Genomic DNA, 20,988 nt, shown 5'->3' on the forward strand with positions numbered 1-20,988 from the left:
CCCAATCCTCTAAATCTCCAGTTCTACCATTAATTTAGATTGTACCTTCCTGCCCCAACCTTAGATCCCTTAATTCTCTTCTCAAATATTTACCAAGCATCTACTATATGCCAGGCTAGACACGAATGCAAATACCAATTTCTGCTTAGATATTTCAGTGTACTAGTTAGACAATTACAACAAAAATAACATGGTAATAATTGAACACTTACTATGTGCCATGCTCTATTTGAAGTACTTTATATGTATTAACTCATTTAATTCTCACAACCCTATGAGGTGGATACTGTTTTCTCCTTATTTTACAGATAGAAATGTAGGCATAGAGAATTTAAGTAATTGGTCCAAATTGTGATACAGAGAAGCACAGGGACTATAAGAGCACAGAAGAGGGACTCCTAATCAAACCCCGGGGGTCAGTATAGAGAAGGCTCCTAGAGAAATTAGAAAAAGCCTGAGTAGAATCTTGAAACCTGAGTATGAATTAGTCAGGTGCAGAATGGGGCAAGGATATTGCGGGCAGAGGGAACATCATGTACAAAGCCACAAAGTGAGCCTTGCATATTTATGGAACTGAAAGTAATTTAGTATGGTGGGAGTGTAGGGTATATGTGAGCTGGTGAGTGGCAGGAGATAAGGCTAGAAAATGCTATAGAGACAGCCTCTTGAAAAAGTCTTGCATGCTTTTCTAAATTATATTCATTGCAAAGGCCAAGTATTCCCAGTCTTGGGGATTTGAATCCCTGAAAGGGGTCCTTGAGGGGTGTCTCATGAATCCATATTATTTCCTCAGTCATTTTTCAACCAGTGGTTAGTAAAAGCACACCTATCATTACATGGAGCTCTTTGGAATTCCTCACTGAAAAAAGTTAGGCATCACTGTTAAGGGAGTTTGGGAACCCTGTGAAGGATTTTTTAAATTAAAATTTTTATTGAGATGATTATAGATTTACATGGAGTCCTAAGAAATAATATGGAGAGATCACTGGAAAACTTTGCAGTTTCCTCCATGGTAACATTTTGGACAAGCTGTAGTATATCATGGCCAGGATATTGACATTGACATTGATAAAATCCACCAATCTTGTTCAGATTTCCCAGTTTTACTTGTACTCATCTATGTGTATAAAGTTCTATTCCAACACCACAAAGATCCTTCCTATTCTTTTATAACCACTCCCGTCTCCTTTCAACCCCATTCCTCATTCCTAATCTCTCTCTGCCTTCCATTTCTAGAATTTTATCCTTTCAAAAATGTTACATAAATGGAATCACAGAGTATATAACCTTTTGGAATTGGCTTCTTTCTTTTTTTTCTTTTCTCAGTTCAGTTCCTTGGAAACTCATCCAAGTTGTGTGTATCAATAGGTCATTCATTTTTTTTTTTTTTTTTGAGACAGAGTCTTGCTCTGTTGCCCAGGCTGGAGTGGAGTGGTGCGATCTGGGCTCACTGCAACCTCCACCTCCTGGGTTCAAGCGATTCTCCTGCCTCAGCCTCCTGAGTAGCTGGGATTACAGACATGCACCACCACGCCTGGCTAATTTTTGTATTTTTAGCAGAGACGGGGTTTCACCATGTTGGTCAGGCTGGTCTTGAACTCCTGACCTCAAGATCTGCCCGCCTCGGCCTCCCAAAGTGCTGGGATTATAGGCATGAGCCACTGTGCCTGGCTGGGCATTCCTTTTTATTGCTGAGTCATGTACCATTGTACATAAGTACTGGAGTTTAACCATTCACTTGTTGAAGAATATATGGGCTGCTTCCAGTTTTGGGTATTACAAATAAAGCTTCTGTGAGCATTTATGTACAGGTTTTTGTGTGGGCCTGTGAAGGATTTTATTCAGAGGGCTATCTAGTCAGATTTGAATTTTATTTTATTTTTTTGAGAGAAGGTCTCGCTCTGTCACCTGGGCTGGAGTGCAGTAGTACGATCATAGTTTACTGCAACTTCAAACTGCTGGGCTCAAGGGATCTTCCTGCCTCAGCCTCCTGAGCAGCTGGGACTACAAGTGCATGACACCATACCCAGCTAATTTTTAAATTTTTATTTTGTAGAGACAGGATCTTGCTTTGTTGCCCAGGCTGATCTTGAACTCCTAGCTCAAGTGATCCTCCGCCTCAGTCTCTCAAAGTATTGGGATTACAGGCATGAGCCACTGTGCCTGGCCCAGATTTGAATTTTAGAAAAATTGTACTCACTGCTTGGTAGAGGATGAGTTTGAAAGAAACTAGAACAGAGACAGGGCGAATAGTGAGGAAACTGTTGTAACCCAGGCAAGAGATGTAGAAGCCTGAACTGCTTTGGCATAGAGGTATCGCCCTCAGAAATCAGATCAGGCTTGTGCAGAGGAGGGAGCAGGGCTATGGAGCCTGGGCTGCCAGGAGGCTCAGGTAGACTTCATTCTGGATAGTCTCCTTTCAGGGAGGACACTCTGCTACCCCAGCTGAGAAAGGCATCCTGTAAGGAAGGGCTGCTCTTCAGCTGCAGGAAGAGAGTCAGAACCTGGTTCCTAGAATGATCATCTTGACTGCAACATTGTTTAGTAGATGCTGTTGGTTATCTTCTCCCAAGAAAAGACAAAGAGGGGCCAGTTATCTTTCTTTTATTGTCTGAGTGGAGGGTTATATGGGGCAGAAAGATAATGAGAAGCTCTCTCTTAGTTCATGTCTCTTTTGGAGCCCAGGAATGTGTTCTCTTTTAACCAGCCAGCAAGAGGCCTGGGAGGTTTCAGTCTGTCCTCTTGTTACTATGGAAACTGGAATCCACATTGTTTTTACCCCATGCAGTGGTGTGCCTGGTTCCTCAGTGTTTATATTTTCAAGGCGTTTATCATTGTGCACTTAGAGCCGCTGTGATTGGGACTGATTGTTGGGAACCAGCCTTACTGATTGAACCCAGAAGGGTATAATCTTAGAGGGTCCACTGATAGGTTGGACATGCCCCCTAGGTGTTGTCCTTTATCTGGGTAAGTCCTTGGGTGCCCACTCCAACACTTTCAGCAAACTTTTCCCAGCAGAAAGCCATTTGAGGTGTCTGTAATTATTTTTTTGGCTATCTCAGACCCTGATGAGTGCTGGCTAGGGCACAAGAACGTTTGGGTCAGGCGCCAGTCAGATAATTTGGGGTAGCTTTTGAACAAGTGTGTGTTGGTTTAATTCTTCTGGGGCCGTCTTTCTTCTTGGAAGCTTTAGTATATAAAGACCTGTGGTATGTGGGACTCCAAACCTGGGATAGCAAATCTTCAAAATCAGTATGCACCTTTCAGTTGTCTCTAGACCAGATATTGTGCTGCCCAGCACTGGGCTAGACACAGGGGAATACCAGAAGAATCAAAGACTCTCTTTGCTATTGTTGGGAAGGTAAGACTTCAGGGCCAGGCTCAGTGGCTCATGCCTGTAATCCCAGCACTTTGGGAGGCCGAAGTGGTGGATTGCTTGAGCCCAGGGGTTCAAGACCAGACTGGGCAACATAGTGAAACCTCATCTCTACAAAAAATACAAAAATTAGCCGAGCACAGTGGTGCATGCCTGTGGTCTCAGCTATTTGGGAGGCTGAGCCTGGGAGGTGGAAGCTGCAGTGAGCCATGATCTTGCCACTGCAGTCCAGCCTGGGTGACAGAGTGAGACCCTGTCTCATAAATAAATAAATAAATAAAATAAAGTCTTCCAGGTTAAGCAGAGAGTAGAAAACTGATGGATGAACAACTAACATTTGTATAGAGCTTTACTATTTTTCAAAAGACTTGACTGATTTTTTCAGGTAAGAACATTAATCCTTAGGAGTAGTCAATGTATAGGAAAGTTGGAATTCAAAGACCCATATTTGCTACCTCTGCAATTCAATACATATTTCAATAATTAGGGATTGGGGAAAAAGGGGATCCTGGAGGCCAGAGAAATGTGTGTTATTGTTTGATTTCCCAGTGCCTTTGCCTAGTTCAGCTAGTTCAGTCATCAGCAAAAGCTGCTTGAAAGTGTTAAATAAGTGTTGAAATGGGTATTCCAGCATGTGAACACTGATCTGGGAGTCAGTCAGACACTTTCAATTCAGTCAGGAAGGTCATAGAAACAAAAGGGCAGGCAAATAGGCTGTCTACCAGGAGTCTGAAGCCCTATGGGAAACCAAGGAGTGGGCAAAGGGTATCATAACAGTTGGACAGCTCCTGCATCAGAAGCCCATGTTATTGAGGTCAAGGCCTGCTTGGTGGTGACTAGCTGTAGGGATTAGCCATTTTCTTCTGGAAGGAGGCTTCTTGTGAGATCAAAATTTGAAGAAAAGAATGCTTAGAGGAGGAGGAAGGTAGAAATGGGACACAGAAGGAGTAGCTGAGTGCACCCTGGAGGAGAGATAGCCAGAGACTTCTCTTCTAGAAGATGATTAGGTTTAGCAGAAGCATATTCTTTTTCCCTTTTTGCTCCTCCCAGCATGGTGTACCAGAGACTCAGTTCTTCTCTAGTGATTCTTAAACTTTATATTTAAGTTCTAATGAGAAAGAGGTTTTTGGCTAGTTTGTTTCAGGAGGTTGAACACTAAAGAATTTAAGGCAAAGCAAGGATGTTCTATTTTACCCTGTTTGGGGAATGGTTCAAGCCCAGATGGAGTTTCTTGTATTTGTCATTAATAGACAAAAAACCCCTGATGGAAGCCCTGCTTCCTCACCCCACAGCCCTTGCTTTGTTGCCTTGGAAAGTAAGAGTTAGTAATGCCAGGGAGCCCGGTTGCATAGGCTGATCCAGATCACCCAACTATAGCCTTGCCATAGGACGTGGTATAGGAAGTTAGTGTGGTTTCTAATCTGGTTCTGCCACTTCTTTGCTGGCCAACCTAGGGCAAAACAACCCATTTTATGGCCTCAATTTTCTTCTCCAGGTGTTAAAAGAGCAACGGCCTTTGAGGCCCTCCAAATCCCCTTCAATTCTGCCATTTAGAGTCTGAGTATAATATGTGATCTCAACATCCATTATTCCCATTCTATGCCAGGAGTTTTTGCAAGATCGGTATTGACTTCTTGATCTTCTTCTTTCTTTTTTTTTTTTTTTTGAGACAGGGTCTTGCTCTGTTGCTGAGGCTGGAGTACAGTGACATGCTCACAGCTCACTGCAGTCTTGACCTCCCAGGCCCAAGAAATCCTCTCATCCCAGCCTCCCTAATAGCTGGCACCATAGGTGTGTGCCACTACTCCCAGCTAATTTTTGTATTTTTTACAGAGATGGAGTTTCCCTATATTGCCCAGGCTGGTCTTGAACTCCCAGGCTCAGGTGATCCTTAGCCTCCCAAAGTGCTGGGATTACAGGCATAAGCCACCATGCCTGGCCTGACTTTCTGATCTTTTAATAAGTCAAGTTGTGTGAGATGCTGTGCTCCTTGCCTTTGGGCTTTCTTTGTTTGGGTTGCCCTTCCTTCTTCTCCCATTCTCTTCTACCTGTTTTTCAGTGGTAACTCCTGCTTGTGTGGTCTCTTGCCCCTTGCCATATTTTACTTTGTAATTCATATACTGTGCTCATTCTCCTAGTACTTTTTGTGAGCAAAGGATGGTGTTTATTCATCTCTTTTTGAATTTGTTCATTCAACAAGTTTTTCTGTGCATTTGTTTGTTCGTTCAACAAATGTTCATTGAAGTCTAACCGTTGTCCTAGGGACTAAGCTAGGTGCTAGCAGCCAGGATTCAGCCATGAGCAAGACAGCCATGGTTCCTGCCACTATGGAGCTTTCAATTTAGTGGAGAAGATAGACATTGAGCAAATTATCACAGAAATAATTACTATTGTGAAAAGTGCTGTAAATGAAAAATATAGGTTGTTTTGAGAATGTATAATGTGGGCCTAAACCAGTTTGGGAGGGAGAATGAGTCAGGATCTTTGAAGAAAAGACATTTAAGTGGAGATCAGCAGCATGAGTCAGAATTTGCAGGTTAAGAAAGAAGTAAGAGCCTTCCATACCGAAAGAATTCTGAGTGGTTCTTGACCTGGGCTGCAGTCTAGCGTCACCACGTAAAAGGGAGTATATGGAGCACCTGGACATATCATGCATGACTGGTGGGAGTATAAAGTGATATGCCTACTTTAGAAAACAGTTTGGCAGTTACTTGAAATGTTAAACATACTTTTATTTTGTAAATGCATCAGTTCCACCCTAGATATTTGCTCAAGAAAAATGAAAACATATGTTCATACAAAGACTTGTACATGAATACTCATAATAGCTTTATTTGTAAAATAGCCAAAAACTGATGAGTGGATAAACAAGTGGTGGTATAGCCATTCAATGGAATACTACTCAGCAGCAAAATGGAACAAACTACTGATTCATGTGACAACATGGTTGAATCTCAAATCTTGTTGAGTAACAGAAGCTAGGCACAAAAGAGTACATACTGATGATTCCATTTAATTTGAAATTCTAGAACAGGCAAAACTAGTTTATAGTGATAGAAGTTGGAACAGTGGTTGTGTGGGGAGGGAGAATGAGGGTTGGCAGTGAAGGACCAAGTAGGAATATTCTGGGGTGATGGAAAGGTTCTGCATCTTGATTGGGGTGGTGGTTACACAGGGATGTATGTTTGTCCAACACATTTAACAGTACATTAAAAATGAGGGCATTTTATTATATGTAACTGTACCTTAAAAATATTCATGCCTCATTTTTATAAGGGTCAAAAACAGGTAAAACTCGTCTATGATGATACAAGTCAGAATGTGGTTACTGTGGGGTATGGTTACTCATGGTAGTATTGACTGGAAAGGGGCAAGAAGGGTGGAGCCTTCCTGGAAATGTTCTATATTTTTTATTTCAGTGGTAGTTACATGAACATATAGATTACATAAAAATTGAATGTATATAATGTAAAAATATATATTTTAAATTGTCTATATATTTACTTATGTACTTTACTGTAAGTGTCTCTATTAAAGAAAAAATAAAACCCCAAAAAACCCAGCTTATGCCTGGCCCCACCCAGAGAGATACTGATTTAATTGGTCTGGTGTGGGGCCTGGGCATCAGCAATTTAAGAGCTCCTTAAGTGATTCTGCTATGCAGCCAGGGTTGAGAACTACTGCTCTATGTGGAAAGGCTGAGGAGGGAAGAAATGGTGTGTAAAGAAGGATCATAAAAAGCAGGAGTTTCACTTCTCTTTTATTTTTAAAAATTTTAATTAAAAATTTTTTTATTATTATTTTTTACTGCTCCCTGTGCAGCAGGGCTACCCCATAAGCAGTATGCCCAGAGTAGTCAGGAGTTTCACTTCTAATATGAAGTTATAGAAAAAAAAAAAAAAGCAGGAGTTACTGGAGATGAAATCAGAAAGATGGCAGGTGTCAGATCATTCTGGGCCTTGCAGGCCACATTAAGAAATTTTAACTTTATCTTAAGAATAAGGAGAAATTTTTGAAAGGTTATAAGCAGAGAGTGACTAGGTTGGATATTCAGCTAGTATGCACTAGCACCGCCTATAGCTCGCATTTCTGCTGATTGGTCATTAAGTATTTAGATTATCTCCTCTGGGAGAGGCATGCTGTGTGCAGGATAAGAGTTGGAATAGTTAAGGAATATTGAATTAGGATTGGTGATTGATTAAATGTGGAGAGTGAAGGAGAGTGAGGTGTCAAGGCTTCTGACATAAGCACCTGGAAAAGTAGGAAGGTTAGGGAAAAAATGAATTTAGAATTGGAACTTAACTAGTTCAAGTGCCTGAGAGACATCCATGTGATGTCTACTAGGTAGATAGGTTCTGTGGGTTTCTGTAGGTCCTAAGTGAAACTTGAACCAGAAACATAATTTTAGGACTTGGTAATAGTAATTTCTTTAAATAGTAACTGAAGGTATGAGAAGAGGTAAAATCACTTTAGGAAAGAGTGTAGTAAGAAGACAGCCCAGAATTTAGAAAAAAATTCTGACATTTAGAATTTATGTAGAAGTCTGGGCACAGTGGCTCATGCCTGTAATTCCAACACTATGAGAGGCTAAGGCAGGAGGATTGCTTGAACTCAAAAGGTAGAGGCTGCAGTGAACCATGATCATGCAATTGCACTTCAATCTGGGTGACAGAGCAAGACCCTGTCTCCAAAAAAAAAAAAAAAAAAAAAAAAAAAAGTCAGAGAGGAGAAACCTACCTTGCAAATTAGGGAAAGCGAAGATTTATTCATTCATTCAGCAAATTCTCTATTGAATACCTAGTATGTGTCAGGCACTGTACGAGTCCCTTGGGATACTGCAGTGAGCAAAAAAGCGACTGCTCTCGTGGACCTTACTTTTAGTGGAGGGAGATAGGTGATAAGCAAACCAAGGAATAAATATATCATGTGTCAGGTGGAATCAAATGCTATGAAAAATGAGAATCACAAGCTGTGTCCTCAGATATCTTCAAATAACTATAGTTATAAACTGACTGAGGTAAGGCCATATGAGGTGCAAAGTCAGAATTGCTGTTGGAACTCAGAAGTATATCTCATTGCATTGCTCAACATGGACCTGTATATATAGTTGATGCTGTGGATTATTATTATTATTATTTTTGAGACAGATTCTTGCTCTGTTGCGCAGGCTGGAGTGCAGTGGTGTGGTCTTGGCTCACTGCAGCCTCTGCCTCCTGGTTTCAAGCCGTTCTCCTGCCTCAGCCTCCTGAGTAGTTGGGATTACAGGCGCCCGCCACCACGCCCGGCTAATTTTTTTGTATTTTTAGTAGATATGGGCTTTCACCATGTTGGCCAGGCTGGTCTCAAACTCCTGACCTTGCGATCCACCTGCCTCAGCCTCCCAAAGTGCTGAGATTACTAGGGTGAGCCACTGCGCCTGGCCTATTATTATTATTAATGTTGAGACAGGTTCTTGCTTTGTCATCAAGGCTGGAGTGCAGTGTCATGATCATGGCTGACACAGCCTGAAACTCCTGGACTCGAGCAGTCCTCCATTTCAGCCTCCCAAGTGGCTGGGACTACAGGTGCACACTAGCACACTGGGCTAATTAAAAATTTTTTTTTCTTCCTTTGTAGAGATGAGATCTCACTGTGTGGACCAGGCTGATTTTGAACTCTTGGCCTCATGTGATCTTCCTACCTTGGCCCCCAAAGTGCTGAAATTACAGGCATGAGCCATCAAGCCTGGCCAATGGATTAATTTTTTTTTTTAGACGAAGTCTCACTCTGTCGCCAGGCTGGAGTGCAGTGGCGCAGTCTTGACTCACTGCAACCTCCACCTCCCGGGTTCAAGCGATTCTCCTGCCTCAGCCTTCCAAGTAGCTGGGACTACAGGCGCGTGCCATCATGCCCAGCTAATTTTTGTATTTTTAATAGAGACAGGGTGTCACCATGTTGGCCAGGATGGTCTCAATCTCTTGACCTCATGATCCGCCCATCTCGGCCTCCCAAGATGCTGGAATTACAGGCTTGAGCCACCGCTCCCAGCTGATTAATTTTTGATGAGCGACCTCAGGGAGAGAAGTGAGCTTGGTCAAAATTCAGAGCTTAGAAGCTGAGTGCAGTGGCAAAAGCCTATAATCCTAGCTATTTGGGAGGCTGAGGCAGGAGGATTGCTTGAGCCAGGAGTTTGAAACCAGCCTGGGCAACATAACAAGACCCCCCTCTCAAAAATAAAAAGGAAGTTAGAGCTTAGAATCTGTAGTGATTTGTGTTAGTGTTGCTTGGGCAGCTGAAACCAGTGCCAGTTTTGTCCAGAAGAAAAGATCTTTTGAATTCCTGCCCCCTGCTGAGAAGAGCTGGTCCTCTTCTTGGATATGAGGACGAGTGGTTCTAACAGACGCAGGAATATCTCTCAGATAGGCTGAGTTTTGCCTAGCCTAGGGGTATGACTCCTCTTTCTGTGGCTAGGCCTGCTGTGTGCCTCAGCTGAGATGTTATATTTCACTGGGGACCTTTCTTGGATAACTCCAGGTCTCAAACCTGTTCCTTTTTTAAGACTTCACATTTCCATAGTCAGGCGCAGTGGCTCACACCTGTAATTCCAGCACTTTGGGAGACTGAGGCGGGTGGATCACCTCAGGTCAGGAGTTTGAGACCAGCCTGGCCAACATGGTGAAACCCCGTCTGTACTAAAAATACAAAAATTAGCCAGGCGTGGCAGTGGAGGCTGAGGCAGGAGAATCGCTTGAACCTGGGAGGCAGAGGTTGCAGTGAGTCGAGATCAAGCTATTGCACTCCAGCCTGGGCCTGGGCGACAAGAGCAAAACTCTGTCTAAAAAAAAAAAAAAAAGACTTTACATTTCTGGCCAGAGCGTCCATCCCTTACTCCTCCCTCACCTCATCCCCATTCTAGGCCCCATGCTATTTTATCTCTTGAACTTCATGGTCCTTGACCAAATTTGAAAATCTTCCCAGGGCTAGTACTCTCAAGTCTTAGTCTTTTGATCCCTTTCCAAGAATGAGGGTGGATTCTAATCCCATCAAGAGTAGCTGCAGAATTTGCTAGTCCTGGCTGAGAAATAAGAGGTGAAGTGGGAGAAATTCTTCTTACTGATGGGGCCCCTGCTGGTAAAACTTGGCAATTTCCAATTCGTCCTATAGGGATGAATTACTGTTTAGTGACGAGAAACAGAAAGTGGTTGGGAAAGTCGAAGCATTAGATGGACAGTGGATATTGGTGGTGGGAATTGGTGGGTTGTATTCAAGAATTCCCTTGACTTTTTGGGAGATATGGTTTTTTAATTAATTAATTCACACATTCTTCATTCATTCATTCATTTAGCCAGCACATACTGATTTCATACTTGACAGGGTAGATGGTAGTGGTAATATTATAATGGGCCCTGGGGGATAGAGTGAGTCAAGCTTGGTTCTTACCACTTGGATGTGGTATGTGAACAACTCATAACATGAGAATTAATATAACAGAGCTATGCACAAAGTGCTTTGGAGCATAGAACAGTGAACAGTGAATGATTAGCTCTGCCTGGAGAAAGGTGAGGAGATTTGGGCAGGAGGGAAAGGACTTTGTGTTTTTTTCTGCCAATAGCTATCAAAGTGTAGTCTTTAGACCATGGCGGGTGGCAGCAAGGCCTTTTCAGGACATCCAGAAGATCAAAGCCGTTTCATAATAATATATTATTTGCCTTAAAAAAAACTATGTATACCTTTGTACTGATGTTGCAAAAACAGTGGTAGGTAAAACTGCTGGCACCTTAACACAAATCAAACCAGTGGCACTGAACTACTAGTAATGACTGTATTCCTCACCTCCACACACTGTCAGTTAAAAAAAATAAAAGTTTTCAACAAAGAAGTAGAAATCATTAATTTTATTGAATTGCATCCCATGAGTTCATGCCTTTTAGTATTCTGTGTGATGAAATATAAGTATGCATAAAGCATTTCTGCTGCATGTAGAAGTTTGATGGTTATCTCAAGGAAAGCACTTGTGCAATTGAGTTGTAAGTTGACATACCTCTTTTTTTTCAGGCAGCACTATCATTAGTTGAAAGAATACTTGATAGATAACTATGGTTATTCAGTATTTGGCAGAATTTTCTTGTAAATAAATGAAATGCATCTTCTGCTTTAAGGAAAACAACTGGTAGTATTTGTTGCCAATGATAAAATTCCAGCTTTTAAGTGAAAACTGGATTTTAGAAAACTTGTATCTGTCACTGTGAAATTGACAGTTTTCCTGGATTAAAAGCTTTTCTGATGAAATCAGTGGTGATATTAATAATTGTGGCTATTTTGATATTGTATAAATGAAAGTGTCAACATTTGGAAGCTCTGCACTAACTCCTAACCAATAGTTTCCAAATGACAAGTGCATCATGTTACAAAGTCATGCATGTATTAAAGATCCATTCAAAGTGTAAGATAGACCAATGGATTTTAATGTTAGAGGGTACAAAAAGTTTATTCATATAGTTTGGGATTTCACATTGCAACTAACCTTTAAGAAACCTACCGCTTGTTGAGTTTGGGTATAGTCTCGTATAAGGTATCCACAATAGTCTGACTAGTAAAATATTCCTGTCTTTTCCAACTGCATATCTATGTTTTGATCTTTAGCCAAAACAACACATCACAATAGGTTGAATGTAGCTATAAGATTATGTCTGTCTTCTATTAAGCCAGACATTTAAAAGATTTGCAAAAATGTACAATTCTACCCTTCTCGAGATTTTTTCAGAAAACAATTATTTTCCATAAAAATATTATTTACATTAATATGTAAGAGATTTGTTATTGTTCTAAAATAAATTAAAGAGAGCCTGGAGAGCAGTAGCAGCCTGGCTGTCATCACCATGTCCCTGAAAGGTGATTTTTTTTTTTTGGAGACAGGGTCTCACTGTTGCCCAGGCTGTAGTGCAGTGGTGCAATCACAGCTCATTGCAGCTTCAACATCCTGCACTCAAGTGATCCTCCTACTTCAGCCTTCTGAGTAGCTGGGACTACAGGCATGCACCACCATGCTTGGCTTTTATAGAGATGGGGTCTCACTATGTTGCCCAGACAGATTTTGAACTCCTGGGCTCAAGCAATGCCTCAGCCTCCCAAAGTGCTGGGATTATAGGTAGTGAGCCACTGTACCTGGCCCTGCAGGCTGATTTTGACAGTGTTGCAGAAGATGTGAGGAAGCTGAAAACAAGACCAGATGAGGAAGGACTGAAACAACTCTATGGGCTTTAGAAACAAGCTATAACTGGGGACATTAATATTGAGTGTTCAGGAATGCTAGATTTAAAAGGCAAGGCCAAATGAGAAGCATTGAATTTCCAAAATGGGATATCAAAGGACAATGTGATGAGTATATATATATATACATATATTTTTTTTTTGAGACAGAGTCTTGCTCTGTTGCCCAGGCTGGAGTGCAATGGCACGATCTCCGCTCACTGCAACCTCCACCTCCCGGGTTCAAGCGATTATCCTGCCTCAGTCTCCTGAGTAGCTGGGATTACAGGTGTGCCCCACCACACCTGGCTAATTTTTGTATTTTTTAGTAGAGATGGGGTTTCTCCATGTTGGTCATGCTGGTCTTGAACTCCTGACCTTGTGATCCGCCTGCCTCGGCCTCCTAAGATGCTGGGATTACAGGCGTGAGCCACTGCGCCCGGCCAAATACCTGTATTTCTAAGCAAAGGAGCTGATAGAAAAAGGTTGAATTTAGGATAAAGCATAGGAGAAAATTGTCCTTTGGAAGCCTTCATACTGGTATCATGACCTAACATTTAGTGGGGGAAATGCACTTTTAACTCTATGTATCATCTACATTTTTGCTGTTAGCATGAATTGTAATAATTAGGAGTAAATTGAAACTACCTAGTTAACTAAACTGTGGTTACTTAAACTAGGTGTCTGTAAAAGTTCTTTTAGAAAAGTGTCTTATATTTTATTTTTATAGATTTAGGGGGTACAAATGCAGTTTTGTTACATGGGTATATTGTGTATTGGTGAAGCCTGGGCTTTTAGTGTACCTAGTGTATCCATCACCCAAATAGGGTACATTGTACCCAAAAGGTAGTTTCTTGTCCCTTACCGTCCTCCCCCACTCCTGGCAACTTTTCGAAGTCTCCACTGCCTCCAGGGACTCTCCATGTCCCCCTATACACATTGTTTGGCTTCTACTTGTAGGTGGCAATATGTGATGTTTGATTTTCTGTTTCTCAGTTGTTTCACTTCAGATAGCGGCCTCCAGTTCCATCCACGTTGCTGCAAAAGACATGATTTCATTCTTCTTTTATGGCTGAGTAGTATTGTGTGTGTGTGTGTGTGTGTGTGTGTGTGTATAAAAATAATATTTTCTTTATGCAGTCATCCATTGATGGACACTAAAGTTGATTCTATGTCTTGCTATTGTAAATAGTGCCGCAACAGACATGAGTGGTGGCTATCTCTTTATATAATGATTTCTTATCCTTTCTTATCCTTTGGCTAGCTGCCTAATTTTGGTCCTTTGGGAGATCTCCATACTGTTTTTCATAGAGGTTGTACTGGTGCATTCCCCTAACAGTGTATGAGTATTTCCTTTTCTCTGCATCCTCACCAACATCTGTTGTTTATTGACTTTTTAGAAAAGTCTTGCTCTGGGAGTATGTATACAAAGACTTTAGCAATTGTTTGTTCTTTTGGCTTATCTGTTCTACAGTGAGTTTAGTGTTACTCATTTAGTGTTCATCTGTTTTGATTATTAAGAAGAAATAAAATGAATTAATAACTAAATATAAAAATTTGTGTTTTACTTTCCTTTTTTAATTCAAAATTTTGTGGAAATTTTATTTGAAATGCTCTGATCTATACCTTATGAAACATATTATCAATCTAGAAAAAATCTTACTGAGGCAGTTTGCAAAAGTTTTATGTTGCTAAATATTCATTAACGCAATGTAGGTAATTAAATTTTAACTTTTATTTTGAGTTTAGGGATACAAGTATAGGTTTGCTACATAACTAAGCTTCTGACATGGGGTTTGTTGCACAGATTATTTCATCACCCAGGTATTAATCCTAGTACCCATTAGTTATTTTTCCTCATCCTCTTCCTCCTCCCACCCTCCACCCTCCGAAAGGCCCCAGTGTGTGTTGTTTCCCTCTGTGTATCCATGTGTTCTCATCATTTAGCTCCTACTTAGAAGTGAGAACATGTGGTATTTGGTTTTCTGTTCCTGTGTTCTTTTGCTAAGGATAATGACCTCCATCTCCATTCATGTCCCTGCAAAGGACATGATCTCGTTCTTTTTTTATGGCTGCATCTGTTTTACTTTCTAATATGGTAAATATTAAACAGTTCTTTGTAATTAAAAGATGTTATGCATATAAAAGGGTCCTGAGACCAAAAAGTTTAAAAACATATGCCTATGCTATTTTCTTTGCCTAGAACTCTTCTCTTTTTTCTCTAGAGAAATCCTACACATAGTTGTAGAGTTAATATTTAGGTATTCATTTTAAAAAAACATTTACTGAGCATCTTATCAAGAACCTGGCTTTTTGTTGCTGTTGGGGACATGGTACCAATCCCTTATGGAGATCACAGTCTGGTGGGGAAGACACATTAAACCCAGTATGTTGAATGTTACCAGTGATAGCATATAAATGTTGTGGGAGTACAGGCTGCTGTCAGAGTCTTGCAAAGAGCCACTTTCCCACTCACTTGGAACATATGACTGGTCAGGTTGATTGGATTATACCTCCTATATTTGATTCTTCATAGTCAGACAGGGAAAGTGGCCGAAGTTAAAAGAAGATGGGAACTGTTTACTTGCTGCTCTGGGGGTAAAGAAGGATACTTCAAATGTATTAAATGTCAGCCTACACCAGGCCCTATGCTGGATGTTTTAACAAATGTGATTTTATTTTTAAAAAGTCTGTGCAGCAGATTATTATCCTTATTTTGCAAATGAGAAATTGGAGGCTCAAATAAATTAACTTGTCCAATATCTTATGGTTTGTAATTGGTGAAGATGGGATTTTGATAGTGTTCTGACTCTAAGTCCAGGCTTTTTCACTGTAGTTATGTGTTGCTAAATGCATGGCTCTTTGAAGGTATTTCCAGATGGTTGTGGGAAACCTTGCCAGATTGGAATGCGTAAGAGAAGGTAGGAAAGGTCTCAGGAAGAACAGAGAGACTGCTTAGGACATGCTTGGTTGAAGGAATTATTTGTGAGTTTTGGCTGACATGGTTTTTCTGTACAGGATTCAACGGCCATAGGAGAATCAAGCTTTTGTACTCCCTAACCCTCAATCCCTTTAATCCTTCTCTATGTCATCTGATGCTAGCAGCAAAGGTCACCTGTCTGTCTGATTAGGTTACAAACCAGAGACTGGGTATTTGAAGCCCAAACTTCTTGGATCTTGTAGGTTTTTGGGAAAGGTGCTGGTTAATTGACCTCAGGCCAGTGGTGCAGCCTGGAGGCCCCAAACCCTAGAGCTTGGTAAACTATTTCCATTATTTTAAAAAGCCTATTAGAAGTTTTGCTTTACCTAGGATATGTGTGGATACAGGCTAATGAAAAGATTGGATTTCTATCTTTCTTTAATTCTTTTTTTTTTTTTTTGAGGCAGGGTCTCGCTCTGTTGCCCAGGCTGGAGTTCAGTGGCACAAACATGGATCACTGCAGCCTCAGCCTCGTGGCCTCAAGCGATCCTCCTACCTCAGCCTCCTGAGTAGCTGGGACCACAGGTGTGTGCCATCATGCCTGGCTAATTTTTTAAATTTTTGTAAAGACAGGGTTTCACCATGTTGCCCAGGCTAGTCTTTTAACTCTGGGGCTCAAGGGAACTCCCACTTCAGCCTCCCAAAGTGCTGGGATCACAGGTGTGAGCCACCACAGCCAGCCTTGGATTTCTTTCTTTTAGGTCAATCCAATATGATTTAGGTATGCTACCTATGATATTCTAGAACAGGGTTCAACAAACTATGGCCTGTGGGCCAAATCCAGTTTACTGCCTGCTTTTATAAATAAAGTTTTATTAGAACACATTCAAGTTCATTCACTTATATTTTGTCTACGGATGCTTTTGTGCTACAATGGCAGAGTTAAGTTGTGCAACAGAGACTATATGGCTGACAAATCCTAAGTTGTTTACTATCTGGCCATTTACAGAAAAATTTGCTGATACTTAATTATGATCCTTTCTATCATGGCACTTAGCACATAGTGTTTTAATTGCTTGTCTCTCCCACTTTTGTAATTAGCCTTCTGAGAGAAAAATGAGATATGATTCATGTTTTTATGCCCCATGCTGATCACAGGGCCTGATATATGAAGAACATTCAATAAATGTTTAAATGGGCATATCATGGGCTGATCAAAAAGCTCTAATATGCAATTATATATGTTTTTGTTGGTGAGGTAGTAGAGAAACAATGCCTTAATCTTTGGGTGTATTCTGCTCTCTCCCTAAGTTCCCACTACCCCTTCATCCCACTCCCCAATTTAGCAGAACAAATGTAGAGAGAAATAAGTTTATGCAGAGATATTTCTTTTTGTATGCATACTGTTTATCATACTTTTTTCTTTTATCAAACCATTGCAGGCTGGGCGTGGTGGCCCATGCCTGTAATCCCAGCACTTCGGGAGGCCGAGGTGGGCGGATCACTTGAGGTCAGGACTTCGAGACTGGCCTGGCCAACATGCTGAAACCCCGTCTCTACTAAAAATACAAAAAATTAGCCGGGCGTGGTGGCGCATGCCTGTAATCCCAGCTACTCGGAAGGCTGAGGCAGGAGAATTGCTTGAGCCCAGGGAACGAAGGTTGCAGTGAGCAGAGATCATGCCACTGCACTCAAACCTGGGCAACAGGGTGAGACTCTGTCTCAAAAAACAAACAAACAAACAAACAAAAAACCAAAAAAAACCCCATTTCTTCAATGTTCTTCTTGCCCATATTATCACCTGTGGCTTCTAAAAGATGAAAGCAACACAAGGCCAGCTATCTGGTCACCCTAGCAAAAAGGCAGTGGTGAAAATGGAATTTTGAAGTGCTGGCCTGGGAGTCAGCAGACTTGGGCTCTCACTGTGGCTCTTTAGCTGCCTTTGACTTTGGCACATCACTTAACATTGGTGAGCTTCAATGTTCAACATACTTCTATTGAATCACATCTGGAACACTTTAAAATTTAATATTTATACTCCTCCCTTATTTTGAAAAGGATTTGAATAACTAGCAAGAGGTAGAGAGGTGACCTGTCTAGTCTTATCACTGTCTTTGGCTGTCAGACAAGTAGATGATTAAATGGATTAGGGTATTTTAGGTCTTTGATTAGTGCCTTCTAAAAGGCGTCACAACCACAGCCTCTTCACCCTGTCCTTACTTTCTGTCCTGTGACAGCTTCTTCTATTGCCTAGGAAGTTAAGATCTATCTTCTTTGAGGGTCATCTGAAGAGTATTTTGCCAAGGAAGTAGTTGTCGAGATCCAGGTCAAAAGGAAAGAGGAATTTTAGCATCTAGGAATTGGAAGAAATACTAGAAACTTCAGTCAAAATACCTTTTTCAAATAGTGACCTTGAGGCCTGGAGAAGAGAAATGACCTCCCTAGATCATATGGTAGAGCTAAGCCTAGATTTCAGGCTCTTCCTATTGTGTGCATCATTCAGACTAGGTGTTTTCCAGGCTTGTAAGAGAGGACTAGGTGTCACAGAAAGAGCTAAGGTGGCCTAGGCTCTTGTGCTGGTTTTACTGCTACATGGACATGTAATGGTAGGCAGAAGAAACTGTATCCCAGACCACCTAAGGTGTTGTATCAGATGAGCTCGGGACCTTCAGATATCTAAAAAATATTTGCCTGATATAACTGTCTATGAGAAGGCATGAGATGTGAGAGGTTTCCCCAGTCAATGGCTGACCTTATATGTATCAGCACTGACAAAATGAACAAAAAGGAAAATTACACATCATTTGGGCACTGGGACTAATTGGCTGTTGTTCTGTTTCCAGAAAGATTATGTTGATTTACATTTGTGTATTTGGCTGATTAAAAATAATAGCTCAATTGAATATGTATTTCTTTGATTACTAATGAGGCCAAATTTTTTCCTGTGTTCATTGGCTATTTATGTTTTCTCTCATTTGTGAGTTACTGATTCACATTCTTGTCTAGATCCCAGTATACTCCCAGTCCTATGCAAGACTTCCCTGCCAAGAAACTATTAGGGTGATAAAGCATTGTCCTTGTGGGGGAGCTCAGCATTTTCTTGGGGAGACAGTTACAGTCTAGATGAAACACCTCTGTCACTGTACAAGTAGCCAGTTAAGTGCCTACATGAGGAGTCAGATGCTAGAAGCTAAGGATGCTGACACAGGTGGGTGATAGGTTCTGGGTGGCAGCTCTGAGTAATTTTGTCTCTTGCTTTTCTTACACAGAGTTTTGCCGAATTGACAAGCCCCTGTGTCACAGTGAGGATGAGAAACTCAGCTTCGAGGCAGTCCGTAACATCCACAAACTGATGGACGATGATGCCAATGGTGATGTGGATGTGGAAGAAAGTGATGAGGTGAGCTCTCCCATCCTGCTATGTCTCTCTTTTCTTCCTGTGTGAATTAGTCTTTGAAAGCTACTTAGACAGCCTCTTCCCTGGGGAGAGATGTTCTCTGCTGGCTTGTTCTTTAGGAACTCATCCCTATCAGGGAAGATGGCTCCCAGAAGAGCAGCCCTCTAGGAGTCAGCCTGTCAGAGTGTAGGCTTTATGCTTGTGTCTGTGCCTGGGCTGGCTGCCCCCTGCCTACTGGCTAGTTGTGTAACACTGACTAAGCTGTGTTGTTTGGGAGGGAGAGAGATCCCTGAGGCTGGTCTCTATGGTTTCCTTGCATCCTTCTTGCAATCCTGCTATAGATGGAGGGCATCAGTCTGTTCTCAGCCCTGTGTTGGCATGAGGGATAGAAGATAAGACACCCAGATCCTGCCCTCTGGGAGTTTATACTCTATATGGGAAGAAGAAACAAATTGTTTTAGAAAGATCATTCTGAATTCCAGGCTGAAGTTTTTGGGAGCCAGTTGAGTGGTCTAGATAGTAAGAGTTAAAGGAGTCTCTAAATGGAAAAAAGCTCTATTGTTGTTTCATCTTTTGGCATTATTGTACCTGTGGCTCAGCAGATCCCAGAGAATAAGGTCATTATGTGTGAAAAGATTTAAAAGTTTGTTCATTTAAAGCTCAACATATACCAGTAGTTTGGTGAAGCTACCAAGTTATGCCAAATCTTCAATAGTGATGTAGTTATATCACGATGGGGGAGATATCCCCATTCTCTCTTTCCTGCCAGCCTACCTTTGAGTTTTGAGTTCAATTTTGGATCCCACATTGTCAGATCCAATGTGAGGAACAATGAGGGCCTATACAGAGAGGAGTGACATGAGTGATGAAGAGTTTGGAAAGTATGAAACAAAGAGCATTCAACACAATTATGTTTATTAAGCGTCTATGTACCATGCACTGTGCTAGGCATGGAGATGGGACTGTAAATAAAACAGATACAGTCTGTCTTTATATAACTTAAAGTCTAGTGAAGAGACTTTAGCCTGGAGAAGAGGAGACTCAGGTAATATAATTTCTATCTTTAAATACATAAGAAGTAAATCAATCAGACTTAAGTAATGATGATAGTAAAGTGAAAACCATGATACTAGCTCTCATTGATTGAACTCTTACCTTATGCCAGTCACAGTGTTAAGCTTTTTGCATAGTTACTCTTTTAACTTCAACAGATTTATGAAGTTGGTATTATTACTAGGGTATGGAGCCTTAGAAAGGTTAAGCATTTTCTTCAGGGACACAGTGAATATCAGTGCAGATCTGATTTCAAAGCCCATGCTCTTAAGTACTGCTGTATTGTTTCTCCTATTCTAAGAGCAGAACCAGGTCCAAAGTAAAGTGGGGAAAGTAAAAAGTAGGCATTTTCTTTTAGAATAAAGAATTGACTAATAGTGAGAGCTATCTTGTCATAGAAGAGGCTTCCTTGGTAGACAGTGAACTCCCTATCACTGAAGATGGGCAAGTAGCATACAGAACTCCACTGAATCTGGGTGTGGTGGCTCATGCCTGTAATCCCAGCACTTCGGGAGGCCAAGGCAGGAGGATAGCTTGAGGCCAAGAATTTGAGACTAGCCTGGACAACACAGCGAGACCCTGTCTCTACAAAAAAAAAAAATTGGCTGGGTGTGGTGGCATACACCTGTAGTCTCAGCTACTCTGAGGCTGAGGCTGGAGGATCACTTGAACCTAGGAGGTCGAGGCTGTGGTGCACTATGATCATGCCATTGCACTCCAGCCTGGGCAACAGAGCAAGACCCTGTCTCTAAAACAAAACAAAACACAAAACAAAACACAAAATTCACTGATTGGTCAACAGAGGGGATTTGTCTGTAAGGATGAACCAGATAATGTTTAAGGAATTTAAAGGAAGAGAAAAAATAGACTTCCTGTATAAAAAGTAAAATTTGGATAGAATGGAAAGGGTTGGGCTTACTGAGTAGTGGAGAATCAGTGTGAGCAAAGCTGTAGAGGTAGTAAGAAATATAGTGGGTTGGTTTGGTTAGACAGGGACTGTGGTAGAAAACCACA

The 20,988-nt window shown here is 41.3% G+C and overlaps 1 protein-coding gene across 22 annotated transcripts in view, besides 1 other annotated feature; it reads left to right on the forward strand.

Annotated features, from left to right (window-relative positions):
- Nucleotides 1-20,988, forward strand: part of STIM1 (stromal interaction molecule 1) — a 238,607-nt gene that overhangs the window by 94,155 nt on the left and 123,464 nt on the right. For 18 of the 22 annotated variants that reach the window (NR_168437.1, NR_168436.1, NR_168438.1 and 15 more), the window contains exon 2: nucleotides 18,794-18,924. The exons of the other annotated variants lie outside the window; for them this stretch is intronic. Coding sequence is in view for 15 of the 18 variants with exons in the window: in NM_001382568.1 (NP_001369497.1) it covers nucleotides 18,794-18,924 (131 nt within the window). In the remaining 3 variants the exon portion in view is untranslated. The remainder of the gene's footprint in view (nucleotides 1-18,793; nucleotides 18,925-20,988) is intronic. 22 annotated transcript variants of the gene reach the window in all.
- Nucleotides 10,221-10,515: a silencer, noted in NCBI's record as "tiled region #12872; HepG2 Repressive non-DNase unmatched - State 8:EnhW, and K562 Repressive DNase matched - State 8:EnhW". NCBI's record gives its function as "represses a minimal TATA promoter and a strong SV40 promoter by Sharpr-MPRA in HepG2 and K562 cells {active_cell/tissue: HepG2 | K562}" and the evidence as "EXISTENCE:reporter gene assay evidence [ECO:0000049][PMID:27701403]".

Source organism: Homo sapiens, chromosome 11, assembly GCF_000001405.40.
Source record: "Homo sapiens chromosome 11, GRCh38.p14 Primary Assembly".
Taxonomy (NCBI): domain Eukaryota; kingdom Metazoa; phylum Chordata; class Mammalia; order Primates; family Hominidae; genus Homo; species Homo sapiens.